This window comes from Homo sapiens, chromosome 2, assembly GCF_000001405.40.
Source record: "Homo sapiens chromosome 2, GRCh38.p14 Primary Assembly".
NCBI lineage: Eukaryota > Metazoa > Chordata > Mammalia > Primates > Hominidae > Homo > Homo sapiens.
In genome coordinates this window covers 176,064,369-176,085,371 of record NC_000002.12, presented here as the reverse complement: position 1 = coordinate 176,085,371, position 21,003 = coordinate 176,064,369, and the positions used below count along the sequence as shown (strand labels likewise).

The following is a 21,003-nucleotide window of genomic DNA, read 5'->3' as shown; positions in this document are numbered from 1 at the left end:
GTCATTATGACTATCAAAGTTGTCGCCAAGAGGCTCAGCCTCCAAGCCCAGGCCGCAGAGAGCTGCTGTAAGGCTGTTCGGCGACTCTCTGCGCCCGGACCCAACGCTGGGAATACCTGTGGCCGCAGGTAAGGGGCTGGGGTTGATGAGGGGAGGAAAGAGAGAAGGAAGAAAAGCAAAGGGGAAGGGAGGGCAGCGGGGAGGTAGGGGAAGAAGGCTGTCTCCTCTTTCCTCTTTTGACCTCGAAATCCAGCGCCTTTGCCGCAAATAATTCTATTTGAGGAGGGAGGGGAAAATCTGGCAACGTGAGCGTGGATTCGGAGCGCCCGTATGGCGCTGTAAATCTCCACTGTGTTTAAAGTTAGCTGTCGAATTCTGCTATCAAATCGTCCAGCCTAGTTCGTTTCCCCTCAGGAAAATGCGTAGGCGAGAAGGCTTTCTATCAGCAGGATTATAAAAGTAAAAAACCGGGGACTTCGAGTTCAGATCTCACTCTGCAGACGGTGTTAGAAAATCAGAGAGGACCTAATGATTTCCGTTTGGAGGCGCGGGCCCAATGCACCTCCGCGGCCACGTAGCAAGAAAGCGCTTTCAAAACTCTAGGATATTTCTATTTCTCTCTCTCTCTCTCTCTCTCTTTCTCTCACTCCGTCTCCCTCTCCCTTTCTCCCTCTCTCCCTCTCTCCCTCTCTTCCGCTCTCTCTCTCTCCCGGGGTGGGAGGAGAGCATTTAGGCTGAGGTGAAGAAATAGGGAGGGAAAGAACTCCGGCGTCCTATTTGTTAAATAAAATACATATTTGGTTCCGAAATCCGAAAGATAAGTAATCCAGATAGGAGAGGCGCAAGGTCTTCTCCTTACGCAACTCTTCCTGCATCCTCCCCCTTATCTCCCCCCACTTATGCCCCCAGCTTGTAAATGGTAAAAAAAAAAAAAAAAAAAAAAAAAAAAACCAAACCTTCCCGAGGACCTACTCTGGAAAGTCAAACCATTATCTATTATTTAATACGTATCTGTGTCCAAGGAAAAATGAAGAAGGCGCTGCATGATTAGGACCTAAGGGGCAACCTAGCAAACTGAGAGCGTAATGATGCCCCTAAATGAAGGGGGAAATGTGCCGCGGCGCGCTCTATTAATCAGACTGTCAATTTCACCCCCGAGGCCAAACCCCCGGGCGAGCAGAACTGGCTCGGAGCGGGCAAAGGACCGGAGCCTTCCTCCTCACTTGTCTCTTCTCGCCTCCTACCTGGATCTATTTGTCTGCTCTGAAGCTGCCTTCATTACCCACTGACAGGAGGGTGTATTTATTTGCTTATAAACCTGTTACAATAAATGATTATTCGAACAGCGTCATTCGTACCTTAATGACGAGCGGGCGCTACTTTTTGATGAATGACATCTCGGGATCGGAAGGATGTATGGGTCATTTTGACCAGTCATTCCCTCGCTCTGGCATCCCACAATTTTTCCGCCTCCCTCCGAAAGCGATAATAATATTTAGAGGCGTTCGCTGGGGCTGAATGAGAATTAGCCCTAGGCGCAGCCTATCATTAGGACGGGACAGCAGGGCCACTGTGACATTTTTAAGAAAGCTGAGATGATGGAAAGAATAAGAAAAGAGATGATTCTGATGGAGAGAGGGCTGCACAGCCCTACGGCGGGCAAGAGATTCTCCAATTTGTCCAACTCGGCTGGCAATGCTGTGCTCGAGGCCCTGGAAAATTCGCAGCACCCGGCTCGCCTAAGCCCGCGCCTGCCGTCTGCCCCCCTGCACAGCGCTCTGGGAGAACTCCCCGCCAAGGGCAAATTCGAAATAGACACTTTGTTCAACCTGCAGCACACGGGCAGCGAAAGCACCGTCTCCTCCGAAATCTCCTCCGCCGCCGAGAGCCGCAAGAAGCCGGGCCATTATTCAGAGGCGGCCGCTGAGGCCGACATGAGCAGCGACGTGGAGGTGGGCTGCTCCGCGCTTCGCTCCCCCGGGGGCCTCGGCGCCGCTCAGCTTAAGGAAAACAATGGCAAAGGTAACCGCGCCGGCCGCACCGCGCTCTCCAGTCCCATCCTCTTTGCTCCTCCGCGGCCCCCGCCAGCCTTTCCCGGTGCCTTTTCCCCTCTCAGACCCTCCACAGGCAAGCTACACCGAGCTAGCACGGGCGGGGGCGGGACGCATGTCTGGGACCGTGCCTTCCAGTTCTGCTCCTTGAGCTTTCCCGCCAGGCTCAGGCCTGCGGAGCCTGGAACACCAGGCCCACCCGCCCTCGCTCCTGAGTCCGAGAAAATGTTTCTGCGCTCGTGTCTAAGAGCCCGAGCGAGCCGGTAGACCCCTAGTCAGCAGCCGAGTTGCTTTTGGGAAAGGTACCCTGGGCAACTACTCTGAACTCCCCTGCCCCTGTGCCCTCAGGGCTGGAGGGGGCATTCTTCTGGGTAAGTCGGAGGAAGCCTCGCCGGCGTCTCTGTTTAGGTCAGCGGGAGAAAGAGTTGAAAAGTATATTTCACCCCCTATTGGCTTGGGTTTGAGCTACTGCTGTGTTGGAACTCTTAAAATATTTGAAACCCCGAAGACTCAGATAAAGGTTAGAGGCCGTATAAAAAGCTGCCCTGCGGTCTCCAGACCATGGGAAACCCAGAGCTTCCCAAACTGCGCCCAGAGGTAGGCATTTTCCCTCGGCCACTTTTCCTCCTTGGTTGAAAATTTCTAATTATTAAAAAAGAAATCTCCTAATTCCGTTTCTATTATTTGCTTATGAAGGGCTCCCCAAACTTTATTGATTCCATTAACGGCAGCAATTTGTAAGCATGACAGACCCCATCAATTCCGGCAGCGACTCTCCTTCCTGACGGGGCTTCCCCGATCCGCGCGCAGCGCCAGCGCCGGGCTGTTGGTCCTACAGCCACTCATGCGCTGTTGGTCGTTTGTTTGCCAGGGTACGCAGAGAGCGGCTCGGCTGCCGGCACCACGACGTCGGCGTCGGGCTCAGGCCTCGGAAGCCTGCATGGAGGCAGCGGAGGCAGCGGCGGGAGCGCGGCGCTGGGTGGCTCCGGCTCTGGCGCGGATCAAGTGCGGCGCTACCGTACGGCGTTCACCCGCGAGCAGATCGCGCGCCTGGAGAAGGAGTTCTACCGGGAGAACTATGTGTCGCGGCCCCGCCGGTGCGAGCTGGCCGCGGCACTCAACCTGCCCGAAACCACCATCAAGGTATCAATTCCAGTGCATGCCTGCTCTGGCCTCCCCGGGGGCATCTGGGTTGATTGTTTCTTTTTCCCCTTTCCCCTTTCTGGGTGGCTAGATTTAGCTAAGGGTCTGGAAATCCGCGGGGGGTAGTCACCAAAGGAATTGGCTTATTTATTTCCCGGCCACCGAATCCGAACGGTTGTCCGGCCTGACGGATCTAAGAAGGCCCCCGAATGGTGACTCCAATGCTGAAAGCACTCGCCCCTGCTCCATTGTGCCCAACGCCTGGCCAGATGCCCCCTCGCCCATACCCACGGCCCCACTTTCCCCTAGGCGGCAAGCCCAGTTGGTCTTTGTTCCTCAAGCAGGAACCAGAGGTGAAACTTTTCATTTGCTCTTGAGCTTGGAGATTTATTTTCCGCATAAATCGTTACACGGAGAAAAGGATACTGTATCTTTAAAATCGATTGGTTTGAGACAGTAGTTTCCTGAACATTTTCCTCTTGGGCAACGAAAAAAGGGCAACCTCCTGCGGGGAAAAATGCAACGAAATTGTCCTTATTTATATATAACTTTAGGTTATTAATTTTATTATACGTCTGGGAGAGATAGCCGGGAGGTTAGGCGATTTGGTGAGCCCTTCATGGAGCGTTCGACACTGCAGAAAAAAGAAAAAATCTCCACGGGGTAGGGGAGGAGTGTGGAAGTCTCCCTCTGGTTTGATCGGGCTTTCTTTAATTTAGAGTTGTGACGAATGATGTCTTTATTAGATAGTGTTGGGAGGGGTGGAAACGTCCCCTTCCCCGTTTATGGAGACATTGCTCTACCCACTCATTTAAGGCAAACGATTCCAACAAAATCATCCCTTCAATATCAAAATCGGACCCGTGCCCCTAGGGGCAGGTCCTTGCAGTTCGGAGGGCTCAAGACTTCGCGCGGCGACCTCTCAGAAAAGCTGAGCGGCAGCCTCTCTTCAAAGGCTGCCCAGAATCCCCGTACAAATCCTGGGATTGAGAGACGGGTGCTCAGCGAGACCGGCACTGGTGGGTGGCGGGAGGGAGAGGAAAGGTTGGATTGGGACAAAAAAGTGCAGCAAGAAGTAAGGGAATAAAAGCCTGAGGAGCAGCAGCAGCCGGACGCGGGGGAGAGGACCCTCTTCGTTGAGGACGGTGTGCCCACGGCGGTCCACACACTGCCGTCCACACTTTCCCAGCTGGGAGACCACAGGGTACTCGGGGTTGGGCTTGGTCGGAGAGAAGTAGACCAAGCCATTCAGAGGTCCGGAAGGGGCAGAGGTCCTGGGACAGGAGCTGGGAACACGGGGCGCTCCCTAACCCAGGCTGCGGCGCGTCTCTCCCCGCAGGTGTGGTTCCAGAACCGGCGCATGAAGGACAAGCGGCAGCGCCTGGCCATGTCCTGGCCGCACCCAGCCGACCCCAGCTTCTACACCTACATGATGACGCACGCGGCCGCCACCGGAAGCCTGCCCTACCCCTTCCACTCGCACGTGCCGCTGCACTACTACCCGCACGTGGGCGTCACGGCGGCGGCGGCCGCGGCTGCAGCCTCAGGCGCGGCGGCCGCGGCTTCGTCGCCCTTCGCTACTTCCATCCGGCCACTGGACACCTTCCGCGCCCTCTCGCACCCCTACTCTCGGCCGGAGCTGCTGTGTAGCTTCCGCCACCCTGGTCTCTACCAGGCTCCCGCGGCCGCCGCGGGGCTCAACAGCGCGGCCTCTGCCGCGGCAGCCGCGGCAGCCGCAGCGGCTGCGGCCTCCTCGGCGGCGGCGGCCGGCGCGCCCCCCAGCGGCGGCTCTGCACCCTGCTCGTGCCTCAGTTGCCACAGCAGTCAGTCGGCGGCGGCAGCCGCGGCAGCAGCTGCCGCAGCCCTGGGTTCCCGGGGTGGCGGTGGCGGCGGCGGTGGTGGTGGTGGCGGCGGCGGCGGGGGCGCCGGGGCCGGGGGAGGCTCGGACTTCGGCTGCAGCGCGGCGGCGCCGCGTTCCGAGAGCGGCTTCCTGCCCTACTCGGCCGCGGTGCTTAGTAAGACGGCCGTGAGCCCGCCGGACCAGAGGGACGAGGCTCCGCTCACCAGATAACTACGTCGCCACCGCCAGGGGGCCGCGCCCGCCTCTCTGAGTGTGCCCGGGAGTCCCCTGTGCGCCCCCTGAGCCCTCCGCGCGTTGCCCGCTGCTGCCGCTGCCGCCAGGGGGCGCCCCGGGGCGCGGGAGGCCGAAGGGAACCTGCTCCGAATTGGGGGAGAAGGAGCAGGCGCAAAAGCCTGGCGGGCATCCCCCTAAATTATTTCTATTTTTGTATTTGCCACCCAGCCGTCTGCCCTTCTCTCTCTTTTCTGGCTCCCGGGACCCACTTTCCACCTCTGTCCTGAGCGCTTGGTTTCCCAAAGACCAACCCCTCGCCCCCTAAGCTAGTCCTGGCTGTGCACTCTCAGGTCCGGGTTGCTTGGCTGAACGGCGTGGCCCGAAGCAACGGAGAACCACAACAAAGACAGAGGGGGATGCTGTGCGCTGGTGCTTGGGGGCGGGGGAGGAGTCGCCCCGGAGGTTTCTCGCTGCTGCTGTTTTTCTTCCTTTTCTTTCAACGAGGGTGGGGGAGGTGGCAAACGTTCTTTCAGCCTGAGCTTATTAGGGACCCTGCCCGAAGAGTGCGGGAGAACGGAGGTCTGATAAGGCCGGGAGGACGGATGGAGAGCGTGGGCAGCGGTGGTTGTTTGTGAGATTGTTTACTACGTTCAGGAGCAAGGCGGGTAGGGATGTGGCCGCCTTCCCCGGGAAGGACAAAGCCGAGGTGCTGGAAGGGGTGGCCGTTGCGCCGCCTCCTTTTCGGTCCAACACCTTTCTCTCTTTTGGTCTTTGGTTTCAGTGCTGATGGAATGGAAGCATCTTGCATATTTTATGCAAAAAGTGATGGCAAAAGAGGTTGCCACGGCCAGGGAAGGGAAAGGAAGGGAGTTGGGGTAGGGGTAAGACTGATAGATCGCTGTAGTATTTGGAGAGGCGTTTTCAGCTCAGTTTTCCAACTACCGGGTTCCACTCGATCTGGGAAATACTTGAATCTCTAGATATATTAATATTATCCTAAAGCATTTCCTTAGACACTTTTCTAAGTTAGAACTCTCTATGTCCCTCGTCCCCTTCTCTCCTCGCTTTCCTTTTCCTCGGGTGAAATGGTTCTTGGCATATTTCTCACGCATGTCTATTGCGCCTTCGCCTCTGCAAAGCCACCGCTGGGTTGCTGAGACCCGCTCTGCCAACCCGGCTACTGGAGGGGTTTCCTTGAACTTGAAGAAAGGTACATCAAAACCCACTAGTGTTAACTGCCACGTCAAGTTTGATGCTAATAATGTGCAGATTATGACGAAAATTGCCAATCATGCTCTCTGATGGACCTCCTTTGAATGTGGAATTGGAGAAAAGTTCCCCGCACGGAGACCTGCTGTCAAGTACTAACAACCCGCTAAGGGAAGTCATTAGGAGAGACGGATAAGAGACTCGGTACATAAAACATTGTTCTTGGTGCATAGAATGTATGTTATTTAATGTTATCTCTGTTACCTGAAGTGATTTCGCAGAAGAAAGCCACGTTCTTATCATCTCAATTGCCGATTTTCATTTTGGTAACTTGGACGCCCTGGGTAGACTTTTCTCTGTTAAGTTGATATTCCACCAGTGTGAACAGCCTCATTAAATCAAGCCCAGATATTTCCATAATGCTCCCCGCAGAGCCACTTGGCTCCTCACATAATGAGATTTTCTGAAGAGTTGAAGCCCTAAAATAACTTGCTAGTGCATGTTTAGACCCAGCGAAGTGGGTATGTGTGTGTACGTGTATTAAAATGTAGGTAGGCTACCTACATGTGTTTGTGTATGTGTATATATATGTATATGTATGTATATGCATATATATATCCGTGCTCTTAAATACATATGTAAGAGATACACACATATTCATGTATACATACACATTGGCACTATTTTCTGTGGTTTATTTCAGATTTGTGTCCTGCCATCATATTGTTATTTTAAAGACACTGGATTTTAAAATATCATTTCCTAAATATAGGCTTTCAGTAAACTTTTGAAAGAATTAGTTTTCCAGGAGAAATTATTTCCATCAAATGGAAAATACATAAAGGGGAAACAGTATTTCGAAATTCCTGGGGTCTATTAAAATATTACCATAAAATATTAGAGAACTTTCCAATGAAATAGCAATGATCTAAAACTTAAGTTTTTGTTTTTGTTTTTAAAAACATGAGACTACTTATGTAAAATATTGATTATACCAGCTCTTATTCACTGAGTTTACATTTTTAAAAATATTAATATATAATTTAAGGCTAAATAAAATAAACCAAAATATGGTACCCTTTATCAGCTTTACCTATTTAGATTGTTAAAGTCCTTTGTTATGATCAGCTAACAGATGTATATAAGGTACTTTAGGCAGTAATGTTTACATTTCCCCCAAAAAATATATATGATTGATGAGAACGCTGGTTGGTAAAATTAACATAAATTCATCATTTGTTGGGTCCATTGGATCTGGTTATTATATTGAAATAAAATTGTAAATAAAGTCTTCGTGCTTTAAATATTGCTGGATGTATGAACTCACTGTAAGATATTTTACAAATGTGCAATAATTATAAAGCCTTGTATATTACGTTATTTATTGTGTTTGGTCATGTAAAATAAATGTTATTTAAATCAAGGCAGTTTTATTTGTTTAAGAGATTGCAAAATGGTTTGTGCTAGTGTTCGTTTTTAACTGTGGCATCCAGGGTTATGAGAATCTCTTAAAACAACATGTTTAAATCCATATAATACACATATCAGATGGATTAATTCATTCTAATCATTATTTTTATGGCAAATACATTACTCATGTTTATAGGAGACATGCACTCTTCCAAACATTGGTTTAACGTTAATTGGCTGGCTAAACAGATAAGAGTGTTTAGGAGTAGTGTGTGTGTCGATACACATGGTAGAGGACGTGCCGTCATATATATAGGGAGTGTGTACACAGGGTTAGGAGCTGTTTATGTTTGCAGTACTACAAAGGTAAACAAAATTAATTCCTCTATCTAATTAACTTGCCCACTTTTATTCTCCCACTTATGAAGTAAATATTAATATTTAATTCAAGGAAAAAGTTCACTCTTAATAGGAGCTCAGCCCTCTTCAAGCTCAGCCCTCCCTTACTAGTTCCATCTCCTTTGGTCTCTTTTAGGGGTGTACAGCACATTCTTCAAACTTAAGTAGTGTTTCTGTTTGCTGAGGATAAAGGATGCTGTGAACATTTTACCAAATTGGCTATGAGTATTTCAAGCAACTGGATATTTAAAAATATGATTTCCCCTCTTCCTTCTTTCTTTTGCTTTGGTACTTCAGCCCTGTTTTTCTTTCCCAATCCTATCTTCTTTCCCGAGTTCAGTCCACCTCTTCGTGTATTTACAGATCTGTCTTAAAATCGATATTTCGATGGCAAAATGCAAGAGTCAATGGTGTGTGCAAAGCAGTCTATTCGATTTAAAAACCAAGATGTCCCTTCCTCGAAATTTTCTTTTTCCAACTGCTCACCCTGGCATTAATTACAACGATGAGGACACTACTGGGAATACAGAGGCTGCGATCACAAGCCATTTTGGCCTGTAATTTACCATTATTATTGCATTAGCTCTAAATGATACAAGCTGATACCGTCTTTAATTGCAGGTTGGTTAAATATATACTGAAGTAATCCCAAGGGTTCCCTCCCCCTCGATAAATTCTTTTCTCTCTTTCCCCTTCTCTCTTTTCTTGAACTCCCCCATTAAAGAAATACGATTATAGCAGCACATTTGGACTGGTGATGTATCACCCTGGTTTTCGGTGCTCTTTGCTAACTCGGGGGTTGTAACCCTTAAAAACAAAAGCATTGAGATAGATGGGCCAGCAAACGGAAAAAGACAGTGGCCAAAAAACCCTGTCCAAAATAACAGCATTTTTTTTGTCTCGAGTGTGCAAAGAATGAAAAAATAATTCATCATAAAATGCAGAAGACTGTCTGTCATCAAGCCCGAATTGTTTTTGACAAGAAAATAAATCTGTAGGTTGTTTAATATATTTTATATTTTCTTTATTTCGTCGCTAATGGAAAAACCAAATTAAATGTCCACTAGCGAGATAGAAATGCAAAGATCGATGATCCACCCCCCTACTGTCCAATCACCCCTATTTAATTGACTGTATTTTCTGGGTAATTGAACTGCTTGTTGTAAATTGAAGATTTTATAGAAACGACATGAAAACTACATTTACTGACATTCATCGCATCTTTGACATTGATTATCTGATCAACGCATGTCACGGTAACCTCCAATTCTTCATTACACACTGTTTATGAGCTGTTACAGAACAACTTGCTTGTTCCAGGGTGATTGATTGCCTTATTAACGCGTGTTCTTGTAAGTGTGACCGAACTGATTACGATGCATATGTTTAGAATAATGTTTCATTTAGCTGACTGCGAGTAATGCAGGGTGACAGCTGCTGCAGGGAGGACAAAAAAACCTGAACTACAGGGCGCGTTTGGGACCAAAAAGCCCAAGTTATTTAAGGTGGAACGGACCACCCCGAGAGGAAATTCCAGAGCTTGTTGCTGCTCCTTAGTCGCTCGGAGGAAGCTTACCCTGGCATCCCCGCCCTCCAAACTCAGAAATATGAAACATTTGATGAAACAATCGCTACCCTCTGCAATTAAATAAGTTATGAAGACTAAATATATGGTAAGGGTTTTCCTCTTGTTACTTCTCTTCCATAAATTGTATTTCTTTTTCTTCCCATAATGCTCCGGTGTCCTGGATTTTTAGGTGCAAAAAGAACAAGCAAAGAAATTTACCTTTGTAAAAATCTACTTACTTACACACAGCTCCAAACTCAAAATTCTTCAGTCTGCTATGGATTCCAGGAAAGGTGTCCTTTCAATCCTACCCATCCTGAATCCGCTAAAGGAAGACTTATAACTCTCCCTCCCGCTAAAACTTGAGTCCCTTTCCTGGGCTTTCTGAGGAAGGAAAGTGACCTTTTCCTTTGCCAAGGCCCTGAGCGTTTTTCCTAGGCCGATCAGGTCAGAAGCTGGAGTGCATTTTGGTTTTAGGCTGAACCTTTATTGGCAGCTCTCCCAAACCCCAGTCATCAAAGGCCTACACCTGGAGACCCTGGAGAGCAGCGTAGGGCTCACGCTATAATTTGTCTGTTAATGTTATGAGCCATGATTTGATCAGAAGTGGGGATCTACTTTCAAGTAGCATTCTGAGTTTCCTCTCATAAGGAACCAAAGAAGGGGACATAGAGCCCTGCAGTGGTCATGAGAAGTCAGTCTCTTTTCCTTTCCTCTTTTTCCACCTAGGACTGGCTGCACAATTTTTGGTCCCAGTGCAAAATGAACATGTGGGCCCCTTGTTCAAAAGTTATTAGGAATTTCAAGAGGGCAACAACAGAACATCAAATCAAGCTGGGGGGTGGCTTTTAAGCCCATCACCCTGTGTGACTACAAAGATCCCCACCCACGAAGCCTGCCCTGTCTCACCCCCTCTCAGATGGAGAGACTCCCCTTGAGTTTAAATAACTTATCCCAATAAAAGACTGGCTTGGGAGTAGAGAGGGAGAAATGTAGGGGGTTATGGCTCCTGGGGGCACCTCCCCTTTCTTCAGTGACCTTTTGGCCTGATCCCTTCTCTTTCTTTGGAGCCACTCTCACCTCAGCTTCTCTGACCTAAGGTCTGGGTCCAAAGAATCTCATGGAAGCTTCCTGAACCACTTCTGAGGTGGGAAGGGTCACCCTCTCTTCCAGCTTCCTTTACACCAATTTGCAAAGTATCCACAACTAAGCTCATCATCCCTGACTTAGGAAAACCAGAATCAAGGTGTCTCTGCCTGTGACGGAAACCCAGGGGAGGAGGGGTGGTGGCGGGGGTGGGTTGGGAGGATAGTCCAGTCTGCAAACGAGAAAAGGGGCAGGCTGGTGTTTCTGAGGTTTGAACTCAGAGCAGGCACTTTGGAGTAAAACCAGTGACCTCCAGACCCTGTGGTATTCCCAGCCAAGTTGGGGAGGGCTGGCAGTGGGGGTCTTGGTTTTCCTGGAGCGATGGGAAAGCATGCTGTGAAAATGCTTTTTATAGATTCTCCCACCTCCACCCCAATCTTATTTTAATAAATACATCCTCAGGCATTATTTACAAGCTCACATAATTTACCTATGCTATTTGGCAAAGCAACTTCGCAAAAGAAAGTGAATGAATAAATACTTCATAACTGCTGGTAGAGCAGACTGGGTCCTGTAATGAAGAAAAGATTTATGTCACCTTATTTCAGCCCAAATAGCAGCAGCCTCGGCTTGTCTCAGCCCAGTGCTTCTATTTAAATGTTACTTTCATATATTATGTGGCATTAATTTAACTATAGCTCATTAAGGCAGAATGAAATGGTTAAATTAACTTATCAACCCATAATGATGATGAATGAGGTATTAATTCAGATACAAGCTGGGCAATTTGCAAGTTTACGCATTGTGATGGTTCTCAAATAACATTTTGAATAGCGGGTCAGCGCCTCAATCAATTACATAAGCATGTAAAGTTGGTCTCTCAGAAAAAAAATCCTTTTTCATGCATATGCATTAAAACATGTTCGCAATTATCCTCGGAAATTGCCTTCATTGGATTAAGCAGCAGCCTTGGACGCGGGTTCTGATCTTCCCTGGGCTTTTATTAAAGCTCTGAGCAGCTTTGGCAATAACAGGGCGGATGGGCTGTTTGTTTAAAGAGTGTTTACCAAAGAAAAGGGCCGACGGGGTGTGCTGGTTGATAAACAGGGATCTACCTCCTTGGGAGAAGTTGTTAGGAATCGTCTGACTGCCCCGAGGCTGAGGAGGGAACCCTGTCAGCCCAGACATCGGCTCCGGGGCTTCGGCTTTCCGGGCTAGTAATTAACTGCCACCTCAAAACCAGCCTTGGGTTCAGGCTGTGCTCGCCAGGGAGATACCGTGCCCGGCCCAGCGTTCGCCCACTAGGGGACTCGGGCGGGGGGACGGGTAGGCACACAGGCAGCCTCCTGCGATCCTTGGTTCATCCAAGCCAGACCAGCAAATGACTTACTTAGTCCTGGGATGGGGGCTCTGGAGGGGGATTTAATGAGCCCTTTGGCAGGAGCTGATTCAGGGCGGCGGTGACCCGTTGTTTCCACCTTCATGCCAAGACGGTTGGCGAATCTCTGCGGATATCCTGCTCGGTTTGACAACTTTGTGTGGGAGAAGAGTTAGCCCAGGTTCAACTCTGGAGTGGAAGCTACAGGAGGGCAGGGCTTGGCCTCAGATATCTCATCTGCAACCCCACCCCAATCCCGACCCCGACCCCGACCCCCAAGCAGGCCTGGTTTGCCCTCCCTGTTCATGAGGCCTAACTTAAGTTCTCTCTGGAGAAAAGTAAAAATAAAAAAGTCAGAGGCCACGGCAGAAGGCTTTGCGGAAGGGCAGGAGGGATTAAAATGAGTTTTTCTGGGACCTCCTTCTATTCCTCTGCCCCATTTTAAAAAATCTTGGTGAAAATAGGGCAGTTAAATAAAACTTTGGCACTTTCCATATGCCACGTACTGCCAAGAGCATACATTAACTCATTTAATTTTCACCACACTCATACGAAATAGTTTCCATCATTATCCCCATTTTACAGAGGGGTAAACTGGGCTGTGGGATGAACACTTTTCCCAGAGTTGAATATTGCACTGCCCAGATCATGAGTTTCACGCTCTCAGCTACTCCGCTAAGCTGCCCCAGAAGGCTTCCCTTCAAAGAGAGGTGTGTGGGTGACACTGCAGTTCCATAATGGGGCACCCACGGAGGTAGATCTGCATTTGTGTAGGTAGGAAGGACCCTAGTCCGGGTTCCTGAGCAATTCTGCTCCTCTTGGGCAGGCAGAAGGCTATTCGGGTGACTGCAGTCCGGGCGGAAGAGGCGGTCAGGGGTGAGGTGGCCTATCCCCCAACCCCGACCTCATTTTAGGGTCTCTCCCAGGCAGGTCTTTCCCCTCTTTGGATGGGTCAGCTCTGTGGAGTGCTGGCCGAGTGGCCACTTCGAACTCGTGCACTTCTGCTTTCTCGGGTTCGGCCCTGGCTTTCATGCCCGGGAGCTCCGCAGCCTGGAGATGCACACCCCGACACCCTCCTCCCCTAATTTCGCACCCGAGGAGGGACGGCCAGGCGAGAGGGCCCTCAGGGTTGGCCCAGCCTTTCTGCGATGGCAGCGAGGGGTCTCTTCGGAGCAGCCGAGACGGGTGTAACGCCGTGGGCGGGAGAAGACGGCTGGTGTCCACGCTCTGCAGGGACTCGAGCCTTCAGAGCTGTCGCAGGGGGACGCGCGACCCGGTTCCCTTCCTCCTCCGCCCAGACGCGGGGGAGAGGGGGATCCAGCAGCCGGTGGCTCCGGGAGCTCCTCGCCGCCTCCCGTGCCAACCTGAGGATGCGTGTTCCCTGCGGTTGCCAAAAGGGTTCGACGGAAGAGAGAAGCCAGAAGATGCGAATAAGAAAAAAAGCTTAAAGGCTGCAATCTCCCCAGCGACTGTTTGCGCCCGGTCTTCTCCAGCACGATCGCTCCCCACCCTCACACATTCCGCCAAGGCTTCTCGCCTCCTCTGACTATCCAAGTCATCTAGTGGGGTGGGGGTAGGGTGGTGCTTTGGAAAAGCTGATTCTCCCCACTCAGATGCGTGGGCTTAGGAGTGGTGAGGGGCTGGCAACATCTGTCCCTCTCCGGAGTGGGCCACCTCTGAATGCGTCTACCGACATAGCTTTGCTAGCCAAATTGCAGGAGACTACAAGGGCTGTGTGAGGTGACTTCACACTGCTCTTGGGAATAGCTCAGGCAGGTTTCGAACCCCACCACTGCCTCTCACTACTAGCCTGTCCTGAGAGGCCACGTGGAATTGAGGGTCCAAAGGGCCATTCATGAACATTCTCATCAGCTTCTTAGGCCCCAAGGCCTGTTCACCCTTGGGGTCAGCTCCTCAGCAGTCTTCCTGGATTTCTTCACGGTCAGTCTTCCTGGATATCTTCCCGCTCCCCTTCAGAGACTCCTGCATTCACCTATCACCTGCAAGAGCAAGGGGTGGGTTTTAGCTGGGGATCTCTGGGGCCTGGAGCAGAGTAGAGACTCAATAAATGCTTGTTGACTGGACAAATAAATTACCCGGATGGAGGGGAAGCCAAAGGCTCCTGAAGAGCCCAGGGCTGCTGCTGGGAGGGTGGGCTTGGGTTTGGCCATCAAGGCTATAGAGGTTTGATTCCTGGGGGTAGGGTGGAGTGGGGTGGTGTGGAGAGGAAAGCCCCTGCCAGAAAACATCTGCCTCACCTGCCACCCTTAGTCAAAGGGAAAGAATGGAGGGGCGGCTCATTGTGTGAGGCAGTGACCCACACTCAGGGTCTGGTTGCTTGGGGTTTCCTATGGGAATGCAGTGTTGGGAAAGGGGGTGTCCAAGAAACTGGGGTTGTAGGGTACTGGTTTCTCCCCTGGGCCAGGTTCTGCTCACATCAATCATCCAGAATCCAGAACTCTTCACAGCCTCTGGATCCATCAAGAAACAAACCCCAAAATAAATGTGAAAGCAATGGCCTGGAGATCGCTCTAGTCCCTGTGCCCTGCAGGGTCTCCAGAGGAGAAAAATGAGGTGGAGGTGGGGGTGGGGCAGAGGTTTCCTGGGAATTCAACTGGATATCCAAGCAGAGAAAAACAAAACAAAACAAAACAAACAAACAAACCCAAAACCATGTGCACAGAGTGAAGGGACTCAGACCCAGAGAGGCCACGAGGACGGTCACAGAATGGTGCTAGTGACAGACTGATGATAGAGGCAGCACAGAGGTTGGGCAGGGGACAGGGAACTGAGGCAGAGGTGGAATAGGGTTGGGAACAGGCTTACACTCAGGGACAACAAGGTCCAAGACTTCAGGGGTGTGTGAGGTGACTACCTCAAGGTGTCCAGGCTCAAGGATAAGGCCAGGATGGAGCTGCTGAGGCAGAGCTGGACAAGCAGTGTTTGGTTACCCACAGGCCTCCAGACCTTAGGAGCCTGGGGGAAATCTTGCAGATTAAGGTTCTAACTGGCCTTCTCTTCTTGCTAAGGGTGCCTTTGCCACTCATACTCTCCAAATGCGAGAGGTTGTATGGCTTTGTGGTTGAAATCTCTGCTTAGCCACTCATTTGTGGTGTGACCACAATCAGGTTGCTTTCTGCCTCAGTTTCTTCATCCCTAAAATAAGAATAGTAAGTCCTCCTTCTCAGGAAGATTGAGTTAATACAGTGTGTTTAAAGCTCACACTAGGGCCTGACAGTAGAGTAAGTTGTATGTATTAGTTGTTCCCAACACTAGGAAGGAGTAAGGAGTCTGAGGACCTGGTCTTGCTCCCTCCCTCTTCTACGCCCATCCACCCTTGCCGGCTGCCCTCTGAGTCCCAGAGGCTGAGACCAGTCCACCAAATGCCTGTTCCCAAGAGCTTCACTTGGTCCGGGCCTGAGGCCAAGGGAGAAGAGGCAGAAGAGGCAAATATTCTGCTTCGACCTGTGCCCGCACAGAGTCAGGCGGTTTAGGGCAGGGTGGGAGGTGCCATGCAGCTGGTGCTGCTTTGGAAGAAGCTGAAAGAAAGGAAAATACCTTATCCTGTATTCATTGTGTCCAGGGCACTGTGCTAGGCATGGGGAAACCAACAGGGAAAGATAAGAAAAATAAATTCCCTTTATTTAATCCTCAGAAAGCTCTTAAGAGTTTCCTATCTGCCTTGTGCATTATGATTCTAATTTTATAACTGAGAAAACAGAAGTGAGAGTGGTTAAGCAAGTTGCCCAAGGTCACACAGCTAAAACATTTGGAATCCAAATGAGATGAGTCTCTCCCTTGGCTCAAGGTCCTCAGTCAGTCCTGTCTTCCACCACCTTCCTCCCAGGGCCCCTGCTGGGAGGGGCCTCAAGCAGAGTTTGTTTGGTGGGTGACTTCGGGAATGAGAAGGGTCATGAGCCCCACTGAGCCCTGTAGGCTCCATTTTGCCTCTCTTCCACACACTCCACTTCTCACCCTCCAAAATGAAAGCAGCAGGATGTTGGGCTCTTCCTGACTGGGGCTCAAGTAATCGATCTATTAATCTCGCTGCATGTTTTCTCATCTGTAAAATGGGCATAATAGAAGCTGTTTCGCTGTGTTGTTGTAAGGCTCACACGAAACAATAAAACCTTTTAAAGTTTGCTTGGCATGTTCAATAAATGGTGGCCATTGTAGTTATTGTTCCTTTGATCCCTGGCCCATGGCAAGCGGGAGGAAGCCCGCTGGGTGGGAGGTAGGGCTTGGGCAAGCTCAAGTGTGTAAGCCCCTCACGCCTGTTTCCTGTCTGAGCCTCCAATGCCACTTTTGAAATTCACGGGAAGGACTGGGACTACGCTTGGCGACAGCGCAAGGCAAGTAGCAGATGTGTGATACCGACCTGCTACAGGGACTTCGGGCTGCGAACGACGTCGCCAACAGTTCACCAAGCGGCCCTCGCATCAAGCGGAACGACGACGTCGTTAAAGCACTGTGGCCCGAGGTTCTGGAGGCGGGGCGAGCCCGGCTGGAAACCTCGCTGCCCACTCCACCAGGAAGCATCCTGGGAGATCCGAAAAAGTGGCCCCGTAAGATCCTGACCTTGGGAGCGAGCAGTTCGTTCGGATTTTTAGGGAACGGGGAGGGTGCAGATGAGGCGGAGTGGCTCATTTCGGGGCCTGGAGCCACTGGCCATGCCCAGAGAGTGCAGGCTGAAACATGTAGATGCTTCTGTTGAAACCTCAGTTTCCCCTCATGGAAAAAAGCCTGTCTATATCTGTCCTCCTTAGTAGGCTCTTGAAAGCCTCCAACAGACTTGCTCCTTGCTGGCCTTACCCAAGTCTTACTTGCCAGGGTCTTGGGCGCTCAGCATGGAGATTGAACACAGATGAACTCTGTGCATTGAGTACTGAAAAGTGGCGGTTGTCACTTCAGAGTTCTAGCCGCCTCTTCGGTGTAACTGGTCGCACCCCTGACCTCTATTCTCCGCTCCCTAAGCCTTCCCCAGAGCGCAGGGGTCCGCGCGGTTTCTGGGGACTGGAGGACAGAGGCAGCTGGCAGGTGGGGAAGGAACAGAGGCCCCTAAAAATGGCTAGGCGCCCTGTGGAGATTCCCCAGACGACCCTCCATTCTTCCACTAGTGCGCGCGGGTAACCCCGCTGGAGATCCACCCAGCCGCGAGGCGAGCGCAGCACCGCAGGAGCAGCGACCGCGCAGGCACAGCTACGGGGAGAGGAGAGCCTGGTCTGGACACGGCCACAATCCCCAGCCAGCCAAGCCTACCCTGCCACTCCCTCGCAGGCCCGGAAAGGGGACAAAACCGTGGGCCCAATTCAAGTGCCAGGTGCGCCCAACGCCAAGAAGGGTCGCCCTGGCTGGCCTCTTCCACACACAGACTTCCACACTTAGGCACCGGCGAAAATCACCGAGGGCTTCGGGCCCTTGCACAACCCTGTCCTGGGCGTTAGTGGCACTGTAGGGCCAGATAATTTTTCAAAGAGAAAGTAGAGGAAAATAAGTGTTGGCTTTTGGTCCCGTGGTCACCCCGAGGCCCACAGCCACCTTCGGTTCTGATTTTCTTTTTCTTTGAAGAAAAAAGCTGAAGAAAGCGGCCGAAGCGCTCCTAGCTGAAAAAAAGGGATGTCAAGGTGGGGTTCGCTAGCTGAAGGCATGTTGGGGGCTACCCTGAACCCACAGACGTGGGACCTGGCCCCGGACTTTCCGTCTTCCTCAGCCTCCGGGTCGCGTCAGTTGCTCGGCGAGGGTCTGAGAAGTGGAGGAGGGACACGGCCTCCGCAGCCACCTAGGCGTGGCCGGAGTGGAGCGCGGGGTCGGGGCGGGCCCCACCGCGAACGAGGCCAGCAGCGCCTTCAGTGTTGTCCTCGCGGTGGACGCACTGCCAGTCCGCCCAGCAGGCCTCGTTTCCGGGAACAGGGGCAGGCGGCTAGCAAAGCTTCCCCCGGGGGCCACCAGGAAGCACCCGGAGATTTCCTGAAAAGGAGTGCGCCTTTAAAGTGTCGGCTTCCCAGACGTTGCTCTGGGGAGAGCGAGGAAGGGGAGGGACACACCTTTTCAAAGGGCTGGGACCCTGGAGGGACTTTTCTACAACTCGCCGCCGGTGTTTACGGGAGGCTGGTTTCTCCTGGGCCGGCGTAGGCTCCACACAGCCCCAGAGACCACCATTGTTTGGGGAGGGCAGATGCGCCCACCCGGGTCCCCGACCGCGTGGCGGAGGCTTGCTTGGCAGGAGTGGAGATGGTGGCGACACCCAGGTTTTCTAACTGCTTTTCTGAAATTCATTAGTAAATGAGGACTTGAACTATGGAAGTTCTGAGAGCCTGCCCCGGGAAGGCGCACCCCAACCTCTCTTCCCCCTCTCAGCCTCTCGCCCCACCATTAGTGGCTGCCTTGAGATCTTTGTATCAAGACCAAGCCAACACTAAGGAGCGCTCTAGTGAAGCAGCCTGGGCCTGGTAATGGGGGTGGAGTCTGCCAGGTGAGGGTGGCCCCACGGGTACCTCGGCCCAAGTGTAAGTTATGTATTTGCTATGAGACCTTCACCTGAGTTATTCATTTGCTGTGAGACGTCGAGCAAGTTACTTAACCTTTTTGTATCTCGCTGTCCTTTTCTGGATAATGGGGATAAACAAGAGTTCTACCTATATATGGATTGTAAAGAATTAATGAATTTTCTCATGTCGCAGAGAAAGCAGTGCCTTACTCTTAGGGGGTATTCCATAAATGTCATGTACCTTTATGTACACATCAGGACAAACCAAAACTCCTCTCTGTCCTATACTCACGCACAGGCAGTATGAGATGGGCAGTGGCCTAGGATCTGGTTACTAAGCGCTACAGAGAAGTGGGTGGTCACAGGCCAGAGGACTTAAAAAAGCCAGGAAGCCGAAATGAGTTGAGAATTCATTTTTACTTCCATAACCCAAGGCCCCTGTTTGCTGTGAAAGGCTTTATCTTTTTATTTTGTTTTGTTTTGCTTTGTTTTTAATTAAGCTATCATTAGCCACCTCCACCTTCCAGAAACCTATTTCTTTTTTCTTTTCTTTTTTTTTTTTTTTTTTTTTTGAGATGGAGCTTTGCTCTTATTGCCCAGGCTGGAGTGCACTGGCGCAATCTCCGGCTCACTGCAACCTCCGCCTCCTGGGTTCAAGCAATTCTCCTGCCTCAGCCTCCCTGAGCAGCTGGGATTACAGGCCACCACACCAAGCAAATTTGTATTTTTAGTAGAGATGGGGTTTCTCCATGTTGGCCAGGGTGGTCTTGAACTCCCAACCTCAGGTGATCTGCCCTCCTCGGCCTTCCAAAGTGCTGGGATTACAGGCATGAGCCACCGCGCCTGGCTCCAGAAACCTATTTCAAAGGACAGAAAAAGAGTAATGAACAAATTTCTTTTTGCATATGGCCCAGTGAAAATAATGAGGGCTTACTTAGAAGTGAGAGACACATGACCTGTCTTCTGGTCTCTGAAACTCTACATGGGTAAATCCTCTAACTTTCTGTTTCTTAATTTCTTCATCTGTAAAATGAGGATGATGATAACAATGCCATCTTGAAAGAATCTTTATGAAAGCTAAAGGAAATAACGTATTTTGAAGCATTTGGCACTGGCAACACAGGAGGATAGAGCTAATAATTCACCAAAAACAATAACAACCATGCTAAAATAAAACCTAAGCAAAGAGGAGAAACTCCAAAGGATGGACATTTCTATTGCAGATTGATTAGGGATTTTTTGGGATATACAGAAGAAAAAGTTCAGCTTAGACATGCTGCCTAAAATGAGTTTCAGGGAGTTCAGGATGCTTGGTTATGAGAAGGGACAATCTGCCCAGTTTCCCTCTTTAAAACTCAAGATATGTCTCCATCAAGCCTGGGAATGCTTTCGTGTAAACAGATTTTAGTTTTTTCAGTATCAACCCAGAAAACTGTCATGTATTAGAAGGAGGGCTGTGAATAAAACATGGTCAAAACATGATGTAATTGCAGTTACTCCAAATATGTTGAAGTGTGTTTTTAAAATGGAGAGAGAACCCAGATCATTTTTTCTCATGCTATCAATTATATAATAGTGGTATAGCTTCTCAATGTAATGTCTCTTTGCCCCACATATACATACATCTATTTGCATATACATGTGCTGATTTCCATTTTGTTTTCCATTTCGTTAGAGGTTTTTAAGTTTAAAGCAATACAATTTTTAATCAGAGTTTCCATTCAGAATCATGGACTCAAAAGATTTTTTTCTCTCTTTTTAATGTAAAAAACTCCAACCTGTCCAACAAAATAGAACTTATCACCTCTAGTTAATTTTGTGAAATATATTCAGTTATTCTTTGGATTATACATTCCATCTTCTTAAAAATATGAACCAATCAATTATATTAGCCATACGGCTTGATTATAACAGCTAATTTCCATTTCATAAAGTAATTGTTGTTTAAATACTGATAATTTATTAGTCAAGGTGTTTAGGAAAGTTCTCTCTAGTTCTATCTTTTAAATAATTATTGAAATGACTACAAAAATTCAAAGTCATTAGACTATTAGTTTTCATGGTTTTAGATTCTGTGGCTCCTCAGCATTAAATATCTACAAGGAGAACATTTTGCATGCTCTGCAGTCCTGGAACTCACAGCATGGACTATCCAGAGCAGCTTGGTGTTATTTGCTAGGCACAGGATTTCAACAGCAA

At 49.9% G+C, this 21,003-nt stretch overlaps 1 protein-coding gene across 1 annotated transcript, besides 5 other annotated features; it reads left to right on the top strand.

Annotated features, from left to right (window-relative positions):
* Positions 378–487: a mitotic recombination region, noted in NCBI's record as "NUP98-HOXD13 recombination region recombines with the NUP98 intron 12 (HOXD13) recombination sub-region of the nucleoporin 98kDa recombination region". NCBI's record gives the evidence for it as "EXISTENCE:nucleotide sequencing assay evidence [ECO:0000219][PMID:10995009]".
* On the top strand, positions 1,410–7,900 carry EVX2 (even-skipped homeobox 2). The gene is made up of 3 exons (NM_001080458.2): positions 1,410–2,022; positions 2,923–3,194; positions 4,534–7,900. Exons 1-3 carry the CDS (start codon positions 1,596–1,598, stop codon positions 5,263–5,265), a joined length of 1,431 nt encoding a protein of 476 aa, NP_001073927.1. The 5' UTR covers positions 1,410–1,595; the 3' UTR covers positions 5,266–7,900.
* Positions 2,036–2,651: an enhancer, noted in NCBI's record as "H3K27ac-H3K4me1 hESC enhancer chr2:176947449-176948064 (GRCh37/hg19 assembly coordinates)". NCBI's record gives its function as "activates a minimal SCP1, AML or CMV promoter by ChIP-STARR-seq in naive H9 embryonic stem cells {active_cell/tissue: H9 hESC(naive)}" and the evidence as "EXISTENCE:reporter gene assay evidence [ECO:0000049][PMID:30033119]".
* Positions 5,816–6,457: an enhancer, noted in NCBI's record as "H3K4me1 hESC enhancer chr2:176943643-176944284 (GRCh37/hg19 assembly coordinates)". NCBI's record gives its function as "activates a minimal SCP1, AML or CMV promoter by ChIP-STARR-seq in primed H9 embryonic stem cells {active_cell/tissue: H9 hESC(primed)}" and the evidence as "EXISTENCE:reporter gene assay evidence [ECO:0000049][PMID:30033119]".
* Positions 8,690–10,030: an enhancer, noted in NCBI's record as "VISTA enhancer hs246". NCBI's record gives its function as "enhancer in: hindbrain (rhombencephalon)[6/6]" and the evidence as "EXISTENCE:transgenic organism evidence [ECO:0001131][PMID:17130149]".
* Positions 12,202–12,702: an enhancer, noted in NCBI's record as "H3K4me1 hESC enhancer chr2:176937398-176937898 (GRCh37/hg19 assembly coordinates)". NCBI's record gives its function as "activates a minimal SCP1, AML or CMV promoter by ChIP-STARR-seq in primed H9 embryonic stem cells {active_cell/tissue: H9 hESC(primed)}" and the evidence as "EXISTENCE:reporter gene assay evidence [ECO:0000049][PMID:30033119]".